This window comes from Homo sapiens, chromosome 7 (assembly GCF_000001405.40).
Source record: "Homo sapiens chromosome 7, GRCh38.p14 Primary Assembly".
NCBI lineage: Eukaryota > Metazoa > Chordata > Mammalia > Primates > Hominidae > Homo > Homo sapiens.
Window position 1 is genome coordinate 5308635 of NC_000007.14, and position 25288 is coordinate 5333922.

The following is a 25288-nucleotide window of genomic DNA, read 5'->3' on the forward strand; positions in this document are numbered from 1 at the left end:
AAGAATGGCCAGAGACTCAGAGACAGACACTGGGAGAGCAGAGAAGACCCAGAGACAGACGCACAGACCAGAGAGACAGAGAACAGGAGCCAGGCACTGAGAGTGGCAGGGACAGGAGGTCAGAGGCTGAGGGAGACCATGGGGGACAGAGCAGCAGATGCTGAGCCGGGCCCTGTCTGAGCTGCCCGGAAGGAAGCAGCCATCCCCAACCCGCCCACCACCACCACCACCACCACCTACCTCCATGAAGTCCTTCCTCTGGCTGGAGACCCGCAGGGCCGCCGGGAGGCTGCGGCTGGACTTCTGGTCCCAGTGCTGTGTGGGGGAGAGAGGAGGGGCTTGGGTGAGCCCGGGGGCTGCTGCACCCGACCCCAGGCCCCAGGACAGGGCTGACCCACTGGGCAGGGCTGCTGATGCTCCAGCACCCAGAACGCCTCGCCCTCAGGTCTGCCCTACACCGCCTAGGACTGGGGGCCGCAGCCGGGCCGCAGGCTCACCTGGCCCTGGTGGAACTGCTTGCCCGGGCTGGTCTCCTCGGGGTGGTAGAACCACTTGACGCGGACCACCATGTTGTTGCCCCACGACTCCCACATGCTCTGGATGCGGCCGATGTAGGGCAGGTTGGGGCGGCCGGCAGAGAGGAACACGGCACAGTCCCCGATACGGATCATCTCCTTGCCGCGCACGATGGCCTTGTAGAAGAGCTTGCGGGCCTTGCCCTTCATGCCACGCCGCTGCAAGGACACGTGTGTCACGGCACAGGCCCTGGCCCAGCCCCAAGGAGCCCGCCGCCTGGCAGGCTCTGCCGCTTGGGACTCTGGGCCCTCGGCCTCTAAATCAACCCCTATCCAACTGTGGGGAGATGAGGAAGCTCCTTGTCTCGCTTCAAGTGGGGAAGCCCCTCTTCCATCTCTTTGACATGCTGGGTCTCCAAGAGGCGCTTCCCTTGATCTAAGCATTCTGCCGCTACAAGACTTCTTATTTTTGAGACAGGGTCTCCCTCTGTTGCCCAGGCTGGAGCGCAGTGGCGCCATCATGACTCACTGCAGCCACGAACTCCTAGACTCAAGAAATCCTCTCCCACCTCAGCCTCTGAGGAGCTGAGAATACAGGCGCACACCACGCCCGGCTAATTTTGATTATTTTTGTAGAGAACAAGGTCTCACTATGTTGCCCAGGATGGTCTCAGACTTTTGGCCTCAAACCACCCTCCCACCTTTGCCTCCCAAAGCACTAGGATCGCAGTGTCAGCCACTGCACCTGGCCTTATTTTTCTTTTGAAAATTACTTTTTTCAGAGAAAGGGTCTTGCTCTGTCACCCAGGCAGGACTGCAGTGGTAATATCATAGCTCACTGCAGCCTCGATCTCCTGGGCTCAAGCCATCCTCCTCCCTCGGCCGCCTGAGTTGATGGGATTACAGGAATCCACGGCTAATATTTTTATTTTTGTAGAGATGGGGGTCTCACTATGTTGCCCAAGATGGTCTTGAACTTTTGGCCTCAAGTGATCCTCCCACATAAGCCACCCAAAGAGCTGGGATTACAGGCGTGAGCTACCACACCTGGCCTTTTTTATCTTTTAAAAAATAGTTATTATTATTATTATTCTTTTTGAGATGAAGTCTCACTCTATCGCCCAGGCTGGAGTGCAGTGGCACGATCTTGGCTCACTGTAGCCTCTGCCTCCCAGGTTCAAGCAGTTCTCCTGCCTCAGCCTCCCAAGTAGATGGGATTACAGGCGTGCACCACCACGCCTGGCTAATTTTTGTGTGTGTATTTTTAGTAGAGACGGGGTTTCACCATGTTGGCAGGGTGGTCTCGAACTCCTGACCTCAAGTGATCCTCCTGCCTGGGCCTCCCAGAGTGCTGGGATTACAGGTGTGAGCCACTGCGCCCGGCTAAAACTATTATTTTTTTCAAGACAAGGTCTCACACTATTGCCCAGGTTGGAGTGTAGTGGCACAATCACAGCTCACTGCAGCCTTGACCTCCCAAGCTTAAGTGATCCTCCCGCCTGGGCCTCCCAAAGTGCTGGGATTACAGACTTAAGCCACTGCACCTGGGCAAGAGAGACTTGAAACTCCATTCTAGAGCAGCTTTGGAAATGCTGCCTGAGACACCACTGACCCCTTCTGGAACATGCAGGTGCTCCTGCCCCACACCTACAGCACGTTGGGGGCTCCCTGCCAGCCTGTCTGAACCACCACTTCTCACACTGGGTCCTGCCATGTATATGTGCCTGTGTGTGCACATGTTCATCTGTGCATTTGTGCACGTGTTCATGTGTGTGCACGTGTTCGTGTGTGCACGTGTTTGTGTGTGTGCACGTGTACTCGTGTGCATGCACGTGCATGGATGCACGTGCACGCATGTATGTGCCTACGTTTGTGTACGTGTGCAAGTGTGCATTTGTGTGGGTGTAGTGTATTTGCATATGTGTGCATGTTCATGTTTACATGGTTCATGTACGTGCCTGCATTCACATGTACATCTGCATGTGTGTATACTTGCTTTTGTGTGTGGCTGTATGTGCATTCATGTGTACATGTGCACACATATGTGCGTGTGTGTGTGCATGTGCCCATGCTTTTGAGTGCACTGTGTGCAAGTGTGTGTGCGTGTGTGTAGACAGCCACAGGCAGGCTGGAAGGGCTCCTTCTGAACAGCTAACCCACTGCTGCAGGCAGGGCACACGGGACCCCGACCTGGCCAGCCAGGACTTTGTCTTCCAGGCCATATTGATTCACTCAGGGGTGGGCACATGATCCTGGCCAGGCCAAGGAGCTTCAATCTGGACTTTTGCTAGCAAACCTGGGAAGGAGGTACCTTCTGCTGGGACTGCCACACTAGTGGCCAGGAGCCCGGGGCGTGGCTGGGAACACTCAAATGCCACACACAACAGGCTGTCAGGCCCCGCACCTGGAATTCCAGCACTCTGGGAGGCTGAGGCGGGAGGATCACTTGAGCCCAGGGGTTCAAGACCAGCCCAAGCAACACAGTGAGACACTGTCTCTACAAAAATATTTAAAAATCAGCTGGGTAGCATGGTGGCACATGTCTGTAATCCCAGCTACTCAGGAGGCTGAGGCGGGAAAACTGCTTGGGCCCAGAAGTTCAAAGCTGCAGTGAGCCACGATGGCACCGCTGCACTCCAGCCTGGGTGACGGAGCAAGATCCTGTCTCTTAAAAAAAAAAAAAGAAAGAAAGAAAAGAAAAAGCCAGGCGTGGTGGCTCACACCTGTAATCCCAGCACTTTGGGAGTCCGAGGCAGGCAGATCACTTGAGGCCAGGAGAGTTTGAGATCATCCTGACCCACATGGGGAAACCCCCATCTCTACTGAAAATACAAAAATTAGCCAGGCGTGGTGGCGTGCGCCTGTAATCCCAGCTACTTGGGAGGCTGACGCAGGAGAATTGCTTGAACCCGGGAGGCAGAGGGTGCAGTAAGCCAAGATCACACCACCACACTCCAGCCTGGGCAACAGAGAGAGACTCAGTCTCAAAAAAAGAAAAAGGAAAAAATCCCAGAGGCCTGGAAAGCCCCTTCCACGTGGCGCCGACGCCTGTGGGTCTGTGCTGATCTTTGCACGTTTCCTTCATCTGGGCTCCACGAGGGTGGCTCTGCGTCCCGGGACCAGAGGGCAGGACCACTCTGCTCTGAAGGACTCGGGCATCGGAGTCCGACAGACCCAGGTGCCTGAGGACACTCTGAGACTCAGTGTACCCATCCATAAAGTGGGACGCCAGCCCTCCACCCTGGGGTTCTGGGAGGTTACCACACACGGAGACACAGCATGAAGCCGTGGGCCCAGCAGAGAGACACAAGGCCCCCGGCCCCTCGGCCGTGCCCGGGCGCGAGCTTGCTCACCTGGGTGGGCTTGCCGAACCACTTCCAGAGCTGCCGGGCTGGCAGGAAGGCGGCGATCTTGGGCCGGTTCTCCACGGACGGCAGGCGCTGCCGCTTGGCCAGCTCCTTGGTGGTGGGGAGGTGGACGCCCTCTCTCTTCTTGGGTCGGCTCTTGGCCCCGGCCTGAGCCTTGGGCTGCAGAGGCTGTGTGGGCTGCGGAGGAGGCGCCTGGGGCTGGGGCGCGGGCGTCTTCTTGCCTGGGGAGTGGGCCGAGGGCCGCGCCTTGCCGGCCTGCTTGGTGGCCTTGGTGGGGAGCGCCGCCTGCGCGGAAGGGCCAGCCGTGGGGGCGGGGGCTGCCTCATCGTCCGAGCTGCAGGAAGAGTCCTCGTCTGTGGTGGAGGAAGAAGAGGAGGAAGAGGAGGAGGAGGAGGAGGATGAGGACGAGGAAGAGGAGGAGGAGGAAGAGGAGGAAGACGAAGAGGAAGAGGAGGAGGAGGAAGAGGAGGAGGAGGAAGAGGAGGATGAGGAGGAGGAGGAGGAGGAGGAGGAGGATGAGGAGGAGGAGGAGGAGGCCGGTGAGGCCGCCCTGGAGCTGGCAGCGCTGCAGTTACGGCCCCCGGTGCCGCAGCCCCCGTCCCCGTTCTTGTCGCCTTCCTCCTCCCCTTCTGTCTCCGAGCCGCTGCTGCTGCTGCTGCTGCTGCTGCTACTGCTGCCACTACTGCTGCTGCTGCTGCTCTCGGACTCTTCGGCCCCGTCCTGCTCAGCCTGGGCCTTGTCTGGGCTCTTGGGGTTCCCAGAGTCCTCGAACGTGAGCCCCGGCCCGGGCTCCTGGGCGAGGTCCCCGTCGGTGGCCTTGGGCCAGGGTGCCTTGGGCTCGCTGCTGCCGGCCGCGGGGGGATAGCTGCCCAGGCTCAGGAGGCTCTTGGGCTCCTGCCAGCCCCCCGCCCCCGGATCCTCCCGGAGCAGCAGGGCCTCTTTAGCCTTCTTGCTTTTGGGTGACGTGACACCCTCGTGGTCCAGTTTGACAAGCAGCTCGGCCTCCTCCCCCGGCCTCCGAGGGCCCTTGGCACCCGACTCCTCGGCTGCCCGCGCCTTCTTGGGCTTGGGGCGTGTGGCAGGCATGGTGATGAGGGGTGCTGGGGCCAGGGAGGTGGCAGGAGCTGGCAGCTCTGCAAATGGCTCGGGTGCTGGGCAGCTGGTGAAGGCGGGTGGTGCGGGACTGGGCTGCGGCGGTGCCGGGCGCGCCTTGGGGGCCTTGGCTCGCTTGTCCACAGGCTCTGGGGGGCTCTTCTTGGAACCTGGGGTGCTGCTCGGCTCCAGGGCTAAGGGGGTACTGGGGACCTCGTCTGTTGGGTTCCCCTCCTCCAGGGTAGCGGCTCTGTCTGCAAAACAAAACAGATGAGAAGCTGGGGCGGGGGCTTCCTGGCAGAGATGAGCTGTGGCTTTTATCAGAAAGGCCTGCTTCTGTGAGTTTTGTTTTTGTTTTTGTTTTTTTTTTGAGATGGGGTCTCAGTCACCCAAGCTGGAATGCAGTGGCGTCATCAGGGCTCATTGCAGCCCTAACCTGCCTGGGCTCATGTGAGCCTCCAGCCTCAGTCTCCCAAGTAACCTGAGGCCACAAGCATGCGCCACTATGCCTGGGGAATTTTTTGTATTATTATTTTTTTTTTTGTAGAGATACAGTTTTGCTCCGTTGCCCAGGCTGGTCTTAAACTCCTGGGCTCAAGCGATCCCTGTGCCTGGGCCTCCTAGAGTGCTGAGAATAGGCGTGGACCACTGCGCCCAGCAGAAAGGCCTGGTTTCAATCCTGGCCCTGCTACTTCTTGAGCAGAACCTGGCTGCAGCCTTCTTAGGCCTCCTTCGGCGGTTCCCCTATAACAACCTTAAGTTGTGTTGGCCCCAAAGCGGGTCCTCCTCTGCTTTCAGCCTGCACGAAGTATTTTCTCTGGATTCTGGAAAGAAACACAGGCCAGCTGCAGCTCAGCTGTGCCTCTGACAAACCAACCTGCCTCCCTCAGCCTCAGTTTCCTCATCTGTCACCTGGTCAGAACGGCCCTGCAGTGCAGGTGCAGAGTTCTCTTCTTTTTTTTTTTTTTTTTTTTTTTTTTGAGATGGAATTTCGCTCTTGTCGCCCAGGCTGGAGTGTAATGGTGCGATCTTGGCTCACTGCAACCTCCAGCTCCCAGGTTGAAGTGATTCTCCTGCCTCAGCCTCCCACGTAGTTGGGATTACAGGCACTCACCACCATGCCCAGCTAATTTTTGTATTTTTAGTAGAGACGGAGTTTCACCACATTGGCCAGACTGGTCTTGAACTCCTGACATCAGCCGATCTGCTCGCCTTGGCCTCCCAAAGCGCTGGGATTACAGGTGTGAGGCACTGCACCCGGCTCAGAGTTCTTACAGACAGCAGGCAGGCACTTCGGCAGGTTCCCAAGCCCTGAGTTTGGATGCACGAAGGAGATCCGCCCACCGCCCTGCCCTGGGGACCAGGCCAACCTACCACCCTTGGCCTTGGCGCTGGGTTTCCGCCCACGCCCACGGGCCTTGGCTCCTGGCTCCTCCGACCCAGCCGTGCCACCATCTTTGCCCTCCCCAGTGTCTTTGCTGGTCTTCCGGCTGCGGCGCTTGGCACTTGGCACCAGAAGGGCCGGGGACGGCTCAGCACCTGTGGGGCAGAGGACAGAGTGGCTCATCAGGCCTGGGGTCCCCAGCTTGGAGCTTCCAAGACCCTGGTCTGTCCCGGGGATCAGGGATGGGGGCGGAAGCAACCGACACCAGGTGGCTGACCCCGGATGGGCTCCCATGACAGGCTGTGAGGTCCAGCAGGGGAAACCCCGTCTGCAGGGAGCAGCCAGAGGCTCCCGAATAATGAAGTAAAACAAAGCACTTTGTGGAACCGGGACAGGTGGATAAAGATGCTGACTTTTGTTGGGTTTTTTTTTTTTTTTTTTTTTTTTTTAAAACAGAGTCTCGCTCTGTCGCCAGGATGGAGTGCAGTGGCAGGATCTCAGCTCACTGCAACCTCTGCCTCTCAGGTTCAAGGGATTCTCCTGCCTCAGCCTCCTGAGCAGCTGGGACTACAGGCGCATGTCACCACGCCCGGCTAATTTTTGTATTTTTAATAGAGACAGGGTTTCACCATATTGGCTGGGATGGTCTCGATCTCTTGACCTCGTGATCCGCCCATCTTGGCCTCCCAAAGTGCTAGGATTACAGGCGTGAGCCACCGCACCCAGCCATTAACAATTTTTGATCAGCTTCCCATGGCCTGGGCCACTGGGCTTGTGCTGTCCTCATGGACCCAGGACCTAGGAGCCCTGAGATCTCACGGGAGCCCACCCATGGCTTCTGCTGCTTCCATCACCTGTGGCTCCAAATGACTTCAGACAGAGCTCAGAGCCGGGCTTGGAGGGCGAGAGCCTGGGTGGGCGGCCCCTGGCAGGAGACCGGGTGTCATGAGCTTGTCACTTACACTGTATCTTATAGTCAGGGGGCAGGAGGCGGATATGTGAGAGGGGGATCCTGCCCGTGTCTCCGTCGTCAAACTCCACGGTGATCAAGTCCCCATCGTCCTCCAGGTCCAGTAACCCTGTGGGAAGAGGGGAGGCTCAGGGGAGGCCCTCGGACCTCCAGCTCCCTAGTGACGCACAAGGGTCAGGATGGCAGAAACCGGCCCCTGTGCAGCCCTGGTCTCTATGGTACAGCAGTGGGGACATGGGTGGAGGGTATACAGCGGCTCAGAATGTGGGTGTTAGAGCCAGGCCACCCGGGCAGGGCAGGAGAAATGGGTCTTTTTTTTTTTTTTTTTTTTTTGAGACAGAGTTTCGCTGTCGATGCCCAGGCTGGAGTGCAATGGCATGATCTTGGCTCGCCGCAACCTCCGCCTCCCGGGTTCAAGTGATTCTCCTGCCTCGGCCTCCCAAGTAGCTGGGATTACAGACATGCGCCACCATGCCTGGCTAATTCTGTATTTTCAGTAGAGATGGGGTTTCTCCATGTTGGTCAGGCTGGTCTCGAACTCCCGACCTCAGGTGATCCGCCCACCTCAGCCTCCCAAAGTGCTGGGATTACAGGCGTGAGCCACTGTCTCTGGCCTGGGTCTCCCATTTCTAGCTGACTTTGGGTGACACAAGACAGCTGAGCACATGCACCTGCGCCCGCTCATGCACAAGACCCTCCTGCAACCACAGCAAAGGAGGGACGCAGGTGTCAACCCTGAAGGACACAAAGAATGGGAAAGGGGAGGGCGGCAGTGGGAGACCGTGGCATTTCCGGAGAGATGCCGGGATGAACGTGCAGGAACGGGCTTTGATCTCCTAGGAGGAGGTGATACCCACGAGGAGGAGGTGGTTTTCCTAAGAGAATCCTGCCAAGGCTCGTGCTGGAGAGGCCCCAAGCACCTCCAGAGGCAGGGCTGAGGGAGACCTCAACACTGAACAGGCTGAGGGTGGCCCAGCTGGCAGGAGCTGGGAGCTTCACCCTAGAGAGAGGCTCCAGACTGAAAGACACTGAGCGCAGGGAGGAGGTTGGACAGGCCCCCCAAAGGGTGATAGCCCAGCCCTCTTCCCAAACGCCAGATGCTGGTACTATATCCCCAAGGATGTGAGTCTTGCAGAATCTGGGCAGCCCCCTAACAAAACCTTCCTGCCCACCCGCTATGACAAACACTCATGAGTGCACAGAGCTCCCATCGGCTTGATAAGGTTCCCTTCATTCAGGGTCCCCAGACGCCTAAGGAGTTCTAACCAGAGGAAGGGCACAGCACCAGCAAGCAGAAGGAGGGGGGACCGGGAAGAGAGAGGGAGCTGCAGAAAGCTAAAATGAGGCCTGGCGCAGTGGCTCACGCCTGTAATCCCAGCACTTTGGGAGGCTGAGAGAAGCAGATCACCTGAGGTCACGAGTTCGAGGCCAGTCAGGCCAACATGGTGAAATCCTATCTCTACTAAAAATACAAAAAATTAGCCGGGCATGGTGGTGCATGCCTGTAATCCCAGCTACTCCAGAAGCTGAGGCAGGAGAATCACTTGAACCTGGGAGGTGGAGGCTGCAGTAAGCTGAAATCACTGCACCGCACTCTGGCCTGGGTGACAGAGCAAGACTCTGTCTCAAAAAAAAATACAGAAAGTTAAAATGAAAAACAATCCTCTGAGAAAGTTTAAAAAGAAATGTGTTGATAAAACAAAAAAAAATTTAAGGAATATTCAGAGAATAAGAAAGAACTCTTAAGGTTTTTTTTTTTTTTGAGATGGTGTCATTCTGTCACCCAGGCTGGAATGCAATGGCGCAATCATAGCTCACTGCAGCCTCGACCACCCAGGCTCAGGTGATCCTCCCACTTCGGTCTCCCAAGTAGCTAGGACAACAGGTGCACACCACCAAACCTGGATAATAATTTTTTTTTTTTGAGACAGAGTCTCACTATGTTACCCAGGCTAGAGTGCAGCGGTGTGATCTCGGCTCACTGCAACCTCTACTTCCCGGGTTCAGGTGATTCTTTCCTGCCTCAGCCTCCCGAGTAGCTGGGATTACAGGCACCCGCCACCACGCCCAGCTTATTTTTGTATTTTTAATAGAGACGGGGTTTCACCATGCTGCCCAGGCTGGTCTCAAACTCCTGACCTCAGGTGATCTGCCCACCTTGGCCTCCCAAAGTGTTGAGATTACAGGTGTGAGCCACCACGCCTGGCCCAAGCCTGGCTAATTTTTGTATCTTTTTGTAGAGACAGGGTCTTGCTATGTTGCCCAGGCTGGTTTTGAACTCCTGGGTTCAAGTGATCTACCCGCATCAGGCTCCCAAATTGCTGGGACTACAGACGTGAGCCACCGCAGCTGGTGGACAATTTTTTTAAATGACAGCAGAAAATTTTAAAATTCAAGAAAACAGAAGGGGTTAGAAGATAAAAGTAGAGAAAATCTCTCCATAAGTTGAACAAAATAAGCAAATATTAACAGAAAAAAAGACACACACACCAGGGGCCATGGAACTAGCCCAAGTTCCAGGGAAAACATGAAATTCACAAGAGAAGTTATCCAAGTTGTGCTACAAGTAGAGCTTCCAAGAATGAAGGAAATTTGCTTCAAAATCAAAGCCTCCCTCTGCAGATACCCAGCATGATGAGAACACACACACACACACACGGAATTCCAGATCTAGGGATAATGAGAAGATCCTAAAAGTTTCCAGAGATAAAAAAGCAGGTCTCCTACAATGATTTTGGAATCACAATGTTGAATGTCTTCAACATGGGAAGCAAGATAAAAATAGAAAAATGTCTTTGAAATGGTGAGGGGAACTATTTCCAGTCGTGAATTTATACCCAGCTCAACTATCTCTAAAGAATAAGGGTACCCAGCTCAGCTATCTCTAAAAAATCAGGGTAGAATGAAGCGATTACAAACATACAAGGATGTGAGAAATTTAACTCCCACAGACTCTTCCTCAGAAAGCTACTGAAAGATCCACTGCTTAAAACAAGGAACTGAACCAAAAAAGAGAAAAACATGCAACGCAACAAAAGCGGTTCCCAGGATGAGGGACAGGGAAGGCCCAAGAATCCAGAATGATACCCATGAGGCAGGCCTAGAACACAGCCAGCACCTCCCAGTACAGGGGGACAGCATGTGCTAGGAAATCCGAATCTAAGGCCAACTTCTGCCTTATTAACAGCACTTTCAGAATTTGGATGATAAATGAGTGACTAATATGATGGAAAAAACTAAGTCTTCCTGGCCTGAGATCCTCTACTCAGGCTGGACCACTCATCTGTTGTTTTGCTGAGCTGGCATTGGCTTCCATCTTCTGGGTATGAATGGATGGTAGGCCAAGCAGTGGACTGTATTTGGCATGTGAGTGGGCTTTTTTTTTGCACGGGCGGGGTTTGTCTAATCCACATCCATACCCCCTCTCTAGGATACACTGCTTTTGCAAAAGCTAAGGGTTGGACCATTTGACTGTCTTTCTTGCCTGTCTGATATCCACACCTACATTTCCTAGGGTACCTGTTGTTTTTCTCCATCCAGCCTCCATTCTTTTTTCTTTTTTTGAGACGTAGTCTCACTCTGTCACCCAGGCTAGAGTGCAGTGGTGCAATCCTGGCTCACTGCAACCTCCACTTCCCAGGTTTGAGTGATTCTCCTGCCTCAGCCTCCCAAGTAGCTGGGATTACAGGCACCTGCCACCACGCCCGGCTAATTTTTGTATTTTTAGTAGAGACGGGGTTTTACCACGTTGGCCAAGCTGGTCTTGAACTCCTGACCTCAAGTGATTCCACCCACCTCGGCCTCCCAAAGTGCTGGGATTACAGGCATGAGCCACCACATCCAGCCTCATTCTCTCTTATTCTAACAACATGTCCACTTTGCAGGGGAAGCCACCCTCCCATCTTTCTCAGCCCACGAATAAAAGGGAGGTGACCTCACTCCTTAGCCCCAGGGATGAGAATCTGACCCAGGCCCGGTCGATCAGACTCACGGCAGTAGGATCAATGAAAACCATGTGGCCCAAGTCAGTTCACACTAGAACTTGTGTGGGAAAACCGAGACTGAGAAATCCTCCAATGATAAGAGTTCTTAAGATGGTAAAATACAATCTCCAAGGAGCTAGTGTGAAGCCAGCACAGATGACAGCACTGCTGACAGATACTCAGAGCTGGAGTCCTGATGACATCGTTTAAATGGTGCCTGGATCCAATCATGCCTGAAGGCCATACAGTTTTCAGTTATGTGAGCCCACAAGTCTTTATTCTTAAGCCAGTTAGAGTTGGGTTTTAGTAGCCAAACAAGTCCATACTGAGATGTTAGGCGGCAGGGGAGAGCTGGGGAGGAGGCATCTCACCTCGGACCACAGTGCCTGGGTAGAGACAGCGGTACTGCTGGCTCCAGTAGGCTGCAATCCTGGTCCCTTGTGGCAAGAAGCGAGTGGAGGCTGGCCTCACATCGATGATCTAGAAGGGCATGGGATGAGTGCAAGGTGTGGACACAGTTATGGCCATGGCCTTGGACACCCAGCCCACCCCGAGCCTCCCGAGGCCCCGCCCCTCCCCCCTCACCGCCTCCTGCAGCAACTGCTCCAGACAGTAGATGTGGGGCCGGTTGCCCCGCTCACCCTCCACCACCACGCGGTATCTGTAGGAGCAAACGAGGCGTGAGGTGGCAGAGGCCGAGACCTCCCCAGAGGGCCTCAATCCCACCAGCACAGCACTGCCTCCTAGACCACTGGGAGGTAACACCAGGACTCAGAGGTTTGCTGACTTGCTGAATTTGGGAATTCTCCCCCTTTTCTGGGTTCATTTTCCTCATCTGTAGGACTAGGGGTTGCAAGGCACAGTCCAGATCCTGAGAGAGGCCAGCACGCTCTCTCACCCCTTCCCGCTGCGGAGCAGCCGCGCCCAGCCCCTGGGAGGGTTCACCCAGTACTCCCTCAAAGTGCCCAGGGCCTCCCCGTCAGCTCTGAGCCCACTCATGCCCCTGCCCTGTGCCATCGGGGGAAACCACAGCCCAGAAAGGAGAAGCAGCCAGGCACAGAGGCGGCCGGGACACGGGGCGGGTATGGGACACGGGGCTCTGTGCCGGACCTCCCACCCCACTCACATGTCTGGCGAGTGCACGGTCTGCACGTGCCCGGCGTACAGCAGCTTGTCATCCATGGGGATGAGCACACGCAGGCCGTCCTTCAGCTCATCCTTGTCGATGATGCAGGAGCGAGGGGCTGCAGGGGTTGGATCGTGAGGCGAGGCTGGAGCCGGGGGCGTCTGCGACACCTCTCCCTCCTCCCGTTACCCCCAAGTCATCCCCTTGGAATGGAGGCCCTGGTACCGGGTGGGCCTGTGGGGCTGAGACGTGTGCACTTCTTCGTCTGCCTGTGTGTGTACCCGTGCAGACCTGTGTGTACCAGTGAGCATGTACAGGGTGCCGTGGCCAGCCCCTCTCCTCCTAGCCCCCTCCCCTGCCTGGCCCCAGATGTCTGCAAAGACCCCAGGTGGGTGTGAACCCAGAGATGAAAGCCTGCACCTGCTGCCTCTTCCCACCTCAAGACCAGCAGCCTCTGGGCCTGGCATGAAGCTCTGGGTGCCAGCCATCACCGGACACTCACAGCGACGATCCTCCATCATGATGTCCGCCCCCTCTTACTGCTGCCCACAGCCAAACTTCTAGGACTTTATTTATTTATTTATTTATTTATTTATTTATTTATTTATTTATTTTTGAGATGGAGTTTCAATCTTGTTGCCCAGGCTGGAGTGCAATGGCATGATCTCGGCTCACTGCAACCTCTGCCTCCCAGGTTCAAGCGATTCTCCTGCCTCAGCCTCCCAAGCAGCTGGAATTACAGGTGCCTGCCACCAGGCCCGGCTAATTTTTGTATTTTTAGTAGAGACGGGGTTCCACCATGTTGGCCAGGCTGATCCCGAGCCCCTGACCTCCGGTGATCCACCCTCCTCAGCCTCCCAAGTACTGGGATTACCGGTGTGAGCCACCGTGCCCGGCCTCTTTCTTTTTTTTAATAATTTTTTCAAGCCAGGCGCGATGGCTCACACCTGTAATCCCAGCACTTTGGGAGGCTGAGGCGGGCAGATCACAAGGTCAGAAGATCAAGACCATCCTAGCTAACATGGTGAAACCCTGTCTCTACTAAAAACACAAATATTACCCAGGTGTGGCAGTGCACGCCTGTAGTCCCAGCTACTTGGGAGGCTGAGGCAAAAGAATTGCTTGAACCTGGGAGGCAGAGGCTGCAGTGAGCCGAGATCACGCCACTGCACTCCAGCCCGGGTGACAGAGAGTCAGATTCCGTCTCAATAATCATCATCATCATCATCATCATCATGATGTCAGAGACAAGGTCTTGCTTTGTCATCCAGCCTACAGTGCAGTGGCAAGATCATAGCTCACTGCAGCCTGGAACTCCTGGGTTCAAGCCATCCTCCCACCTTAGCCTCCTGAGTAGCTGGGACTATAGGTGCACACCACCATGCCTGGCTAATTATTTTTTGTAGAGACAGGGTCCACTATGTTGCCCAACTGATCTCGAACTCCTGGTCTCAAGTGATCCTCCCACCTCGGCCCCCCAAAGCACTGGGATTACAGGTGCATGTGACCACACCCCACCTACCTCTGAGACTTTCCATCCACTTTTTCTTTCTGGCGGAAATGAATGCCCGGGGGCAAACTTGCCGACGGCGGTCACCTCTCATTGCCCCAACCCTCTGCTCCCTCCCTCTCCCTGCCCCTGCCAAGACACTTGGGCCTGCCCTTCCTCCTCAGTGGGACCTTTCACCTGGTCTGTCCCCGACATTCTCATTACCCAGATGGCTCGCTGGGAGAGGGATGGGTGGGACGGCCGTATCCCTGCTGTGCCTGCCTGTGGCCTTGTCACTGGCAGAGTCGACTTCCCACACCCTGACGTTGGGCTTGGCCATGTGGCTCTCAGAAGTGGCCGGGGCCCAATGCTGAGCCTAGGCCTCGAGAGAGCTCTTAAGCCCAACTTTTCCTCTTAAGCCACGGGTCTGGCAGGATAAACAACACACGCAGAGAGGACCACAGACCTGGAGCAGCTGACCCCTGGCCAGCCCATCACCGCAGGAGCAAGGCCACTGGGGGTCTGCATGGCCACCCAGCAGCCCTACATGCCCCTGAGACGCACACAGGCGGCGGCTGGTTGTCACATAGCGGCAGGTGACCAATGCAGCCTTGGGGCGGCCGACTCCTTCTCACTCGCTCCCCCATCCATACCCACGATTTCGCCTCTGGGCTACAGACCCCTGGGTCCCAGCCTGGGCGTGACTTCCCGATTGAGTCATCAAAGCCCAGCACATGACTCTCCCTGACCCGGGTCTCAGGGACAGGGCTTCCCCCCACCCCCACACCTGTCCTCACCCTTCCCTTCCCCTCTCCTCTGCCTGCACCCCCGACCCCACCTCCCATCCACACTCCCTCCTAATGTGTGCACCCTGCCCCGCCTCCTTCCCTGCTGCCCCCATGGCAGCCCCAGGCTACAACCCACTCTCGCCTGGACAGCACAGCCTCCTAACTGGACTCCCTGCCTTCCCTGGGGCCCCCACTCGTTCTCTGTGCAGCACCAGACAGTTTTTTTTTTTTTGAGACACAGTTTTGCTCTTTGCCCAGGCTGGAGTGCAATGCAATGGCATGATCTTGGCTCACCGCAACCTCCGCCTCCTGGTTTCAAGTGATTCTCCTGCCCCAGCCTCCCGGGTAGCTGGGATTACAGGCGCCCGCCACCACACCCAGCTAATTTTTGTATTTTCAGTAGAATCAGGGTTTCACCATGTTGGCCAGGCTGGTCTGGAACTCCTGACCTCAGGTGATCTGCCCAACTCGGTCTCCTAAAGTGCTGGGATTACAGGCATGGGCCACCACGCTCGGCCCAGACAGCTCATTTTAAAGCCAATCTGACCATATCACATCCCCACATCTAACCTCAGAAAGCTTCGCATTTTCCTTAGGGCCAACACGGAACTCCTTCCCAAGCCCCGCAGGACCTGCCTCCTCCCTGGTCCCAGGGCCGCTCTCTTGCCTCATCTGCAGTTGACTAAGCTGCAGCCAGTCCAGCCTTCTCATCGACCCGGATAACTCAGCCTCAGGATCTCTGCTCCTGTGGTTCCCTGCCCCCAGCTAGCCCAGCCCTTCAGTCTCAAGCCTTGCTCAGATCTGCCTCCCCCAAGGGAGGCTCCAGCAGCCCCGCCCGGCACATGTGGCATCACGGCCACTCACCCGGGGTCAGCGGCCGCTCCACAGCCCCGCCACGCGGCAGGTGCTCGTCCTCAGAGAAGCTCGAGTCTTGGTTGGGTTCAAAGTCCTCCTCGGCTGCCATGCTCTCCATCAGCTTGCTCACGGCACCCCCCTTGCCGCGGTTCTGGGGACAGAACATGGCCGACAAATGACTTAGGACCTGAACAGGGGTCCTGCCGGGTTGGGGACCCTCTCTGGAAACCTGGAGCCACAGTCAGGCCGCAGGGGGAATCTGTCATGTGCATGGCAGGGATCCCAGTTAGGGGCACCCCAGAGGCCAGGGGGAAGGTGAAATGGGCCCAAAACCCAGCTGGCCCATGCTCAGTACTCGGTGCTCAATACTCAGTACTCTGTGCTCAGTATCAGCACTCAGCACTCAGTACTCACTACCATACCTCAGTCCATCACTATGGCAGGTGCCTCCGTTCCCTTCTTAGAGAAACTTCAGCAGCATCTCCAGCATTTCCACCCAATGGGCTTGAGGAAAAACCACTCGGGCAGGGGCTAGCAGGTGTGGGGAGTGGACATGCCATCATCTGCCACTCGGGCAGATTCACCCAAGCCTGAGGGCCCTGTGAGGACCTGGTGCTGGGCTGGGGGCCTGTCACCCAGGTCTCCTGGTCTCTGTTCCAGTGTCCCTCGCCCCCGCTAGAGCAGACATTTCCTGAGGACAGGAGCAGAGTCCCCAGTATCTCCTTATCCCTGGAGTGTGGGGACGGCCACATCACCCTCGTCACCCGCAACCTCTCTGAGCCACAGCTATAGGGAGGGTGAATACAGAGGAGCAGGTGGAGCCCCCTGCCCTGACCACAGGAGCATGGCTGAGCCCCCCACAGCCCCCAACCAGGGCACGGTGAGCCTCACCTCCTTCTTCACCTCCTTCCCTTTGGCCTTGGCTTTGCTCCTTTTGGCAGCGGTCAGGGAGCTGGCGTGAGGAGCCCTGGCCTCAGAGGGCAAGGCAGGAGCTCGGGGCGGCGGCAGCCCAGCTCCTGGCCCAGCCTCTTTCCCTTTCTTCTTCTGGAGGAGGAAGCAGCAGAGAGGAGCCATCAAACGGCAGGGAAAGCACAGGCAGCACCCCTGTCCCCCTCACTCACTCACCCCCAAGTTCTGTGCCACCCCAAGTGCGCCCTCCCAGGAGGAACAAAACACCCCTTCTCTCTCTTCCTGCAAGCGTTTTTGGTTTTGGGTTTTTTTTTGTTTTTTTTTTTTTGAGACGGAGTCTCGCTCTGTCACCGAGGCTGGAGCGCAGTGGCGCGATCTTGGCTCACTGCAAGCTCTGCCTCCCGGGTTCACGCCATTCTCCTGCCTCAGCCTCCCGAGTAGCTGGGACTACAGGCACCCGCCACCACACCTGGCTAATGTTTTTGTATTTTCAGTAGAGACGGGGTTTTACCGTGTTTGCGAGGATGGTCTCGATCTCCTGACCTTGTGATCTGCCCGCCTCGGCCTCCCAAAGTGCTGGGATTACAGGCATGAGCAAACGCGCCCTGCAATTTTTTTTTTTTTTTTTTTTTTTTTTTTTAGAGACAAGGTCTCGCTCTGTTGCCCAGGCCAGAGGACTGTGGCACCATCACCACTAAATGCAGCCTCGACCTCCTGGGCTCACGTTATCCTCCTACCTCAGCCTCCTGAGTAGCTGGACTACAGGTGCACACCACCACACCCAGCTAAGTTTTTATTTTTTTAGAGACAGGGTCTTGCTATGTTGCCCAGGCTGGTCTCAAACTCCTGGTCTCAAGCAATCCTCCCGCCTTGGCCTTCCAAAGTGCTGGGATTACAGGCTGTTTTTAACGTGTATTATCTTATTACTAGTATATATTACTTGTTGCCCCGTCTGCCCAAAAAAGACACCACTGAAGTGTATATATGTTGCAAGTTCCTCTCCAGTGACCCTCCTACCAACTCCACAGAGTCAGCTACTAGTAACAGCATGGTGTATCCTTCTAGAACTTTCCACAAGCACACACAACCGTGTAAATATGAAGGCTACGCAGACACAACCATGCACACACAGTATTTTAAAAAAAAAAAAGTGGGAATTTACCAACAGTCCTGCTTTGCAACGTTTCCCCTCAACATGACTGATACATATGAAAGGAGCTTCATTTTAACAGCAGCCTATTGAGCCAAGGTATGGAGAAACCCTAATGCACTTACTTTAACCACCCCCGCGATGAGAAGGGCCTGTAGGCTGCCTCCGTTTTTTCACTCTCTGTTTTGTTGTTGTTTTTGAGACAGGGTCTGGCTGTGTTGCCCAGGCTGGAGTGCCATGGCACAATGACAGCTGACTGATAGCCTCAACCTCCTGGGCTCAAGCAATCCTCCTGCCTCAGCCTCCCAAGTAGCTTGGACTACAGACATGTACCGCCATGCCCAGCTAAAAAATCTACACTTTCTAAAAGGGACACGTCTAAAACAAATGGCCATTAGCTGGGCATGGTGGCGGGTGCCTGTAATCTCAGCTACTCGGGTGGCTGAGGCAGAATCATCACTTGCACCCGGTAGGCGGAGGTTGCAGTGAGCCGAGATCGCGCCACCACACTCCAGCCTGGGCAAAAAAGAGCAAAACTCCGTCTCAAAAATAAAATAAAATTAAGGAAAAAAAAAAAAAGGCCAGGTGCAGTGGCTCCTGCCTGTAATCCCAGCACTTTGGGAGGCCGAGGCGGGCGGATCACGAGGTCAGGAGATCGAGACCATCCTGGCTAACACGGTGAAACCCCATCTCTACTAAAAATATAAAAAAGTAGCTGGGCATGGTGGCACACGCCTGTAGTCCCAGCTACTCGGGAGGCTGAGGCAGGAGAATCGCTTGAACCAGGAGACGGACGTTACAGTGAGCCGACATCGTGCCACTGCACTCCAGCCTGGGCGACAGAGTGAGACTCTGTGTCAAAAAACAAACAAACAACAACAACCACCAAAACAAATGGCCAAGGCCAGGAGAGGTAGAAAAGTAATAAATAAAGATAACAATGGTCAAATGCTACCAAGACAACAACAGAAGTCACAGCGTCCATATCCAAAATGAAAGTCAAAGCAGAGAGCATTAAAAGAAACAAAAAATGGTATGTTCTAGGGAAAAAGAATATACAGTTTAATCCCCATTTTGGGGGGGAAAAATATATATGTGTGTGTTTGTGCGTGTGTGTGTGTGTGTGTGTGTGTGTGTGTGTGTGTGTGTCTGTGTGTTTTATTTTCTTGTTGCTGCTGAACTCTTTAATGCAAGTCATCCTTCTGGAATCAGAGGCATCTTAGGCGCTGAAAGAATGTTAGTGGCGCTGTCCCCTTATCTCTGGGATCCGTCATTAAGCAGATAGCTGCAGCTCCTGGTACATGTCCCTGCAGCTGTACCCACAGGGAAACAAAAGGAAATGACAGCAGAAAAAAAAAGGCCTGAATGGATTTTTCTTTTCTTTATCTTCCAAATTACTGTTATAATCAGATAAAGCCAGTAACTGTTTCTTTCCCTTTGATCTGAAAACCCACGGCTGGGTGCCTTCCCCTACTTTTTTGTAAAAAAAACATAAAGTAAATAAGAAAATAACTTCCGACGTGATAGAAGTTCTGTATGCAAAACAGAGACGCTGCCTGCTTTGGTAACTATGACAGCAAAACACCATCACCACCCAAACCACCAACCGCCAGCAGGGTCAGTGGCAGGAGACAGGCAGGCAGTGGGATGGCATTCAACCATTTAAAAATACTGACAGCCAGGCGCGGTGGCTCACGCCTGTAATCCCAGCACTTCGGGAAGCCAAGGCAGGCGGATCACTTGAGGCCAGGAGTTCGAGACCAGCCCAGCCAACATGGTGAAACCCCGTCTCTACTAAAAATACAAAAATTAGGCGTGAGGGCACGAGCCTGTAATCCCAGCTACTCTGGAGGCTGAGACAAGAGAATCACTTGAACCCGGGAGGCAGAGGTTGCAGTGAGCTGAGGTTGCACCACTGTACTCCAGCCTGGGCCACAAGAGTGAGACTCTGTCGCAAAAAACAAAAAAAATACTGATGTCCAGGTGTGGTGGCTCACGCCTGTAATCCCAACGCTTCGGGAGGCCAAGGCAGGAGGACTGCTTGAGCCCAGGAGTTCAAGACCATCCTGGGCAACATAAGGAGACCCCACCCCATCTGCACGAAAATAATTTTTTTTTAATTAGTCAGACGTGGTGGTATACACCTGTAATCCCAGCACTTTGGGAGGTCGAGGCAGGAGGATCACTTGAGCCCAAGAGTTTGAAACCAGCCTGGGCAACACAGTGAGACCACCTTCCCCGCCGCCGCCTTTTTTTTTTTTTTGAGACAGAGTCTCGCTCTGCCACCCAGGCTGGAGTGCAGTGGCACAATCTCGGCTCACTGCAACCTCCGCCTCCTGGGTTCGAGCGATTCTTCTGCCTCGGCCTCCCGAGTAGCTAGGACTACAGGTGACCGCCACCACACCCGGCTACTTTTTTGTATTTTTTTAGTAGAGGCGGGGTTTCACCATATTGGCTAGGCTGGTCTCGAACTCCTGACCTCGTGATCCACCCGCCTCGGCCTCCCAAAGTGCTGGGATTACAGGTATGAGCCATTGCGCCCGGCTGAGACCACCGTCTCTTATTAAAAGAAAAATTAGCAAGGTGTGTTGGTGTGCCACTGTGGTCCCACCTACTCAGAGGAGACTGAGGCAGGAAAACTGCTCGAACTTGGAAATTTGAGGCTGCAGTCAGCTACAATCACCACTGCACTCCAGACTGGGAAACAGAGCAAGACTCTGTCTCTTATAAATAAATACAATAAAAATATTGATAGAAGGCCAGGCGTGGTGGCTCATGCCTATAATCGCAACACATTGGGAGGCTGAGGTGGGCCGATCACCTGAGGTCAGGAGTTCGAGACGAGACTGGCCAACATGGCGAAACCTTGTCTCTACTAAAAATACAAAAGTGAGCCGAGCATGGTGGTGAGCGCCTGTGATCCCAGCTACTCGGGAGGCTGAGGCAAGAGAATCGCTTTAATCTGGGAGGCAGAGGTTTCAGCGAGCCAAGATCTCACCACTGTACTCCAGTCTGGGCAGTAGGACAGATTCTGTCTTTAAAAAAAAAAAAAAGATAGAAAATAAAAGTAAAAGCCCATCCCATGTGGCAGTACACATGATATAACACAGACTGAACTAAGTCTGAAAAGCAGAATACAGCCAGGAGCGGTGGCCCACAACTGTAATCCCAGCACTTTGGGAGGCTGAGGTGGGCAGATCATTTGAGGTCAGGAGTTCAAGATCAGCCTGACCAACATGGTGAAACCATGTTTCTACTAAAATACAAAAATTAGCTGGGCATGGTGGTGGGCACCTGTAATCTCAGCTACTTGGGAGGCTGAGGCAGGAGAACTGCTTGAACCTGGGAGGCGGAGGTTGCAGTGAGCCGAGTTTGTGCCACTGCACTTCAGCCTGGGCGACACAGTGAGACTCCGTCTCAAAAAAAAAAAAAAAAAAAAAAAAAGGATAGCTATCTGTCCAAGGTTACAGCAGGGAATGATCAATAGAGTTGGGCTTTGAACACTGGGGACGTAGCTTTAGCTTCAGTTCTGGCTCCTTAACCACTGGACTACATTGCCTCTTTGGGCCTTTCCCAAGAGTTCCTTCTGTTGGAGGCCCAGGGTTTCCAATTCCTGGCATCTGAACAGCTGAATACCCAGCTATTATATCCAGCTATAATACCAGAGGCTCACCCAGTGTCTGCCTTTTGATACTGTAGCAGGAACCTGGAACAGAACAGATTCATTGTTGACAAATGGAGGCTCAGACACCCAAGGAAAATCACCCCACATCTCAGCATCCCAAGAACAGACACTGTTAATGTGTGGTAGGTGCCCCCCAACACACCCAGCTAATTTTTTTATTTTTAGTAGAAACGGAGTTTCACCATGTTGACCAGGCTGGTCTTGAACTCCTGACCTCAGGTGATCTGCCCACCTCGGCCTCCCAAAGTGCTAGGATTACAGGAATGAGCCACTGCAAACAGCCTTTTTCTTTATTTTGAGACAGAGTTGTGGGTTCTGTTGCCTAGGCTGGAGTGAGGCAGTATGATCATAGCTCACTGCAGCCTTCACCTCCTGGGCTCAAGCAATCCCCCTGCCCCAGCTTCCAGAGTAGGTGGGACTATAGGCACTGATCACCACCACTCCCAGCTAATTGTTTTTTTGTTGTTTTTTTTTTTTGGTAGAGGCAGGGTCTTGCTGTGTTGCCCAGGCCAGTCTCAAAACTCCTGGCCTCAAGGGATCCTCCCACCTCAAAGTGCTGGGATTGCAGGCGTGAGCCACCGCAGCCAGTCTGGTGCCTGTCCATATGTGAGCCACCTATAGAGAGCGGTTCATAGGAGAAACCCACTTCACACAGTCCTGCATGGTAAGTGTGTGAAGTGAAGGGGTTAGAACATGTCTGGGCCTACTATGTGCTACCTGGTAGCATTATTATTTTATTTTTGGAGACAGAGTCTCACTCTGTCGCCCAGGCTGGAGTGCAGTGGCACAATCTCAGCTCACTGCAACCTCCGCCTTCCGGGCTCAAGAGATTCTCCTGCCTCAGCCTCCTGAGTAGCTGGGATTACAGGCACCCGCCACCATGCCTGGCTAATTTTTGTATTTTTTAGTAGAGACAGGATTTCGTCATGTTGGCCAGGCTGGTCTCAAACTCCTGACCTCAAGTGATCCACCCACCTTGGCCTCCCAAAGTGCTGGGATTACAGGTGTGTGCCACCGTGCCCGGCTGAATCATTATTATTATTGTGACTAATTGTGACACCTGTCCTGCAAGGCCTTCAAAAACCTGAGATGGCCTCTGCCACCAGGAGACAAGAGCACAAATCCAAGGTGCCTATGGATGGTGCTTACACTGGCCCCTTCCTCACTACTACCCCTTTGTCAGGAAATCAATGTGACTCTCATCTTTTTTGTGATCTTCTCTAGAATGTCACCCTTATTTGAGGGTTCCTCCTATATCAAGGGCTCAGGGTGGAGAGGTATTTTGACAGAATACCGTCAAAACCTAGCTGTTAAGTCTGAACGCATCCAAATAGGAGGAGGAAGCAACTGGCCCTCAGCTTCCTAGTGGCCAGTGCAAAAAGGGTAACAGGCCCGATTATAAAGTTGTCTAAAAGCAAGTTTTCTTAATCTGGGGTGTTCATAGAGAGAATTTAGGAAATCTGTAAATGGGTAGGAAAGAAAATCCCACCTGCATTTTCACATTTTAACCTCTAAAAAAAAAATGGGGTTTTCCTTCAGGTGAGAGTGGAGGCCACAAACCACAAAAGTACCAGCAGCGCCGGTGAAACCACAGAGTCTTGCAGCAACGGAAACCACAGAGACTTGCAGCACACAATAGTTACTCCAGGGACCTTAAAACATCCTTTACACTGCTTCAGAAGTACAGCACTAGCCGGGTGCAGTGGCTCACGCCTGGAATCTCAACACTTTGAGAGGCTGAGGCAGGAGAACAGAGTTTGAGACCAGCCTGGGCAATGCAGCAAGACCTTGTCTATACTTAAAATTTAAAAATTAGCTGGGCACGGTGGTATGCACCTGTAGTCCCAGCTACTCAGGAGGCTGAGGTGGGAGGGCTGCTTGAGCCCAAGAGTTCAAGGTTGCAGTGAGCCATGATCACAGCACTGCACTCCAGCCTGGGTGACAGAGTGAGACTCTGTCTCTAAAATATAAAATAATAAAATTTTAAGTACGGTATTTACTAGACCCATTGGCAGATGTGTTTATTAATTAAATACATCCCTAAAGGAATGTATAGGTACCATATCACAGAAGGGTCTTTTCAATATTTTGATAACTATGGTCACTATCACTGTCTTCCTTTGGGGTCCCAGGTATCTTATTCACTTTTTAAAGTCGTCTTCTGAGACAGGAGAAAAGAGAGTAAGGACCTCTGTAAGATACGGGTGGTCAAGCATGGTGGCTCATGCCTGTAATCTCAGCATTTTGGGAGGTTGGGGCAGAAGAATCACTAAAGGTCAGGAGTTCAAGATCAGCCTGGGCAACATAGCGAGATCCCCTCTCTACAAACAATAAATTAGCCAGGTGCAGTGACATGTGTCTGAAGATCCAGCTATTTGGGAGGCTGAGGCAGGAGGACTGCTAGAGGCCAGGAGGTAAAGGCTGCAGTGAGCCATGATCAGGCCACTGCGCTCCAGCCTGGTGACAGAGCAAGAGTTGACTCTTAAGAAACAAAGGAACAGGTGCCCAGCTCCTGCTGTGGCTAAGTCCTAGCAGGGGCTCCGGGCGGGCCTGGAGCCGAGTACATGGTTATTAACAGTGAAGCCGCTTCCCTAGGCTGGGAGGGGAGAGGGCCCCTCCCTCACGGAACCCCAGGGACCCTTCTGCGGCACCCCCTCCCAGCGCGGCCCCTACCTTCCTGGGGTCCTTCCTGTCCTTTGCACGCCCGGCGTCCTTGCGCGGGCTCAGGGGGCCGCCCTTGGCGCAGCGGCTGGTCTTGGTGGCGGGCGCGGTGCTGACGGGCGCAGGTGCAGCAGCCGAGGCGTCGTGCAGGAAGATGCGCTCGCTGCGGCGCCGCGTCCACAGGTCGTCGTCGCTGGCCTCGGGCCCCGCCTCGAAGCCAGGCTCCTTGGGGCCCCGCAGCTTCCGGGCCTTGCGCCCCTTCTCCACCGCCAGCTTGGCCTTGTCTGGGCTGCTGGGGTCGGGACCGCGGGCGCCAGGCGTGGGTGCGGCCAGGGAGGGTCCCGGCTCCCCCAGCCCCTTCTTGGGCCGCAGCAGCCCCGCAGGCGACCGCTTGCGCACCTTGACCTCGCTCTCTGAGTCGGTGTACTCGAACTCTGTGCCTGAACGCGGGAGGAGGGCGTGCTGGTCACAGCCTCGTGGGGACCCCTTCCCTCCCACCCAGCCACATGGACACCATTCCTCCCCGGCGGGACCTCCCCGCCAATGGCAGCGCTTCTGCCCGTTTCCAGGAGAGGAAACTGAGGCCCAGAGGAGAAAGACTCATCGGGACCACGCCTGTCCCTACGCCTGTCCCTACGCCGCCTCGGCTGCCCGGACGCTGCTCCCAGCCCCTTGCCCCATGGGAAGATCCTGGGCCCCTTGAGCTCCTCCAAAACCCCATGTGACTTGTGGAAATCCCAGAAGCCAGGGCAGCTGGGCAGGACGGGCCCCACACCTGCAGGGCAGCAGCCCTCTAAGGCAGGCAGGCGGGGAAACCCGCAGAGAATCCCCAAGCCCCGCTCGCCTTCTCTCCCCCGTTCTTGGTGCTGCCTGTCGGAACTGGGTGGTCCCAGGAATCGTCCACTCCCACTGCCCTCTCTACACGACATGGCCACCCCAGCAGCCCTCCTCCCACCCCAGGCCCCACCCATTGCACAGCCAAGGCCCTGCTTCCCTCTGTCCTGGATCCTGGGTCCCAGCTCCCGGGCTGCTTGAATGCACAGCCTCTGAGCACAGCCACCCAGCACTCGCCCAGCACCCACCATCCCCACTCATTCCCAGCTGCAAGCTTTGCTCTCTGCCATCCCCTATGCACAAAGCACCAGCTCCCCCGACCTCTCCTTGGAACGGCGCTAAGTCCTTCAGAAGGAGACCCACCCCACAACCCGGGAAGTCCTCTATGGCCGCACCTCTGTTGTCACAGGCAATGCCACACCTTCGCATTTCTGTCCATGCCCAGGTCCCAGCTTATCCCAGCCTGCCCTGACCCTGGG

The 25288-nt window shown here is 54.8% G+C and overlaps 1 protein-coding gene across 16 annotated transcripts in view, besides 4 other annotated features; it reads right to left on the reverse strand.

Annotated features, from left to right (window-relative positions):
- Positions 1–25288, reverse strand: part of TNRC18 (trinucleotide repeat containing 18) — a 117024-nt gene that overhangs the window by 1824 nt on the left and 89912 nt on the right. For 11 of the 16 annotated variants that reach the window (XM_017012737.3, XM_047420983.1, XM_017012728.3 and 8 more), the window contains 12 exons: positions 23988–24415; positions 21303–21335; positions 16462–16614; positions 15580–15721; positions 12439–12556; positions 11898–11973; positions 11684–11792; positions 7322–7438; positions 6350–6514; positions 3869–5229; positions 498–734; positions 241–315 (listed from right to left, as the gene is read on the reverse strand). In XM_017012737.3, coding sequence (XP_016868226.1) covers positions 241–315; positions 498–734; positions 3869–5229; positions 6350–6514; positions 7322–7438; positions 11684–11792; positions 11898–11973; positions 12439–12556; positions 15580–15721; positions 16462–16614; positions 21303–21335; positions 23988–24415 — 3014 coding nt within the window. The other 5 variants (NM_001080495.3, XM_047420980.1, XM_047420981.1 and 2 more) reach the window with 2 other exon arrangements.
- Positions 2324–2825: an enhancer, noted in NCBI's record as "H3K4me1 hESC enhancer chr7:5350589-5351090 (GRCh37/hg19 assembly coordinates)". NCBI's record gives its function as "activates a minimal SCP1, AML or CMV promoter by ChIP-STARR-seq in naive H9 embryonic stem cells {active_cell/tissue: H9 hESC(naive)}" and the evidence as "EXISTENCE:reporter gene assay evidence [ECO:0000049][PMID:30033119]".
- Positions 2826–3325: an enhancer, noted in NCBI's record as "H3K4me1 hESC enhancer chr7:5351091-5351590 (GRCh37/hg19 assembly coordinates)". NCBI's record gives its function as "activates a minimal SCP1, AML or CMV promoter by ChIP-STARR-seq in naive H9 embryonic stem cells {active_cell/tissue: H9 hESC(naive)}" and the evidence as "EXISTENCE:reporter gene assay evidence [ECO:0000049][PMID:30033119]".
- Positions 13924–14457: an enhancer, noted in NCBI's record as "H3K4me1 hESC enhancer chr7:5362189-5362722 (GRCh37/hg19 assembly coordinates)". NCBI's record gives its function as "activates a minimal SCP1, AML or CMV promoter by ChIP-STARR-seq in primed H9 embryonic stem cells {active_cell/tissue: H9 hESC(primed)}" and the evidence as "EXISTENCE:reporter gene assay evidence [ECO:0000049][PMID:30033119]".
- Positions 14458–14991: an enhancer, noted in NCBI's record as "H3K4me1 hESC enhancer chr7:5362723-5363256 (GRCh37/hg19 assembly coordinates)". NCBI's record gives its function as "activates a minimal SCP1, AML or CMV promoter by ChIP-STARR-seq in primed H9 embryonic stem cells {active_cell/tissue: H9 hESC(primed)}" and the evidence as "EXISTENCE:reporter gene assay evidence [ECO:0000049][PMID:30033119]".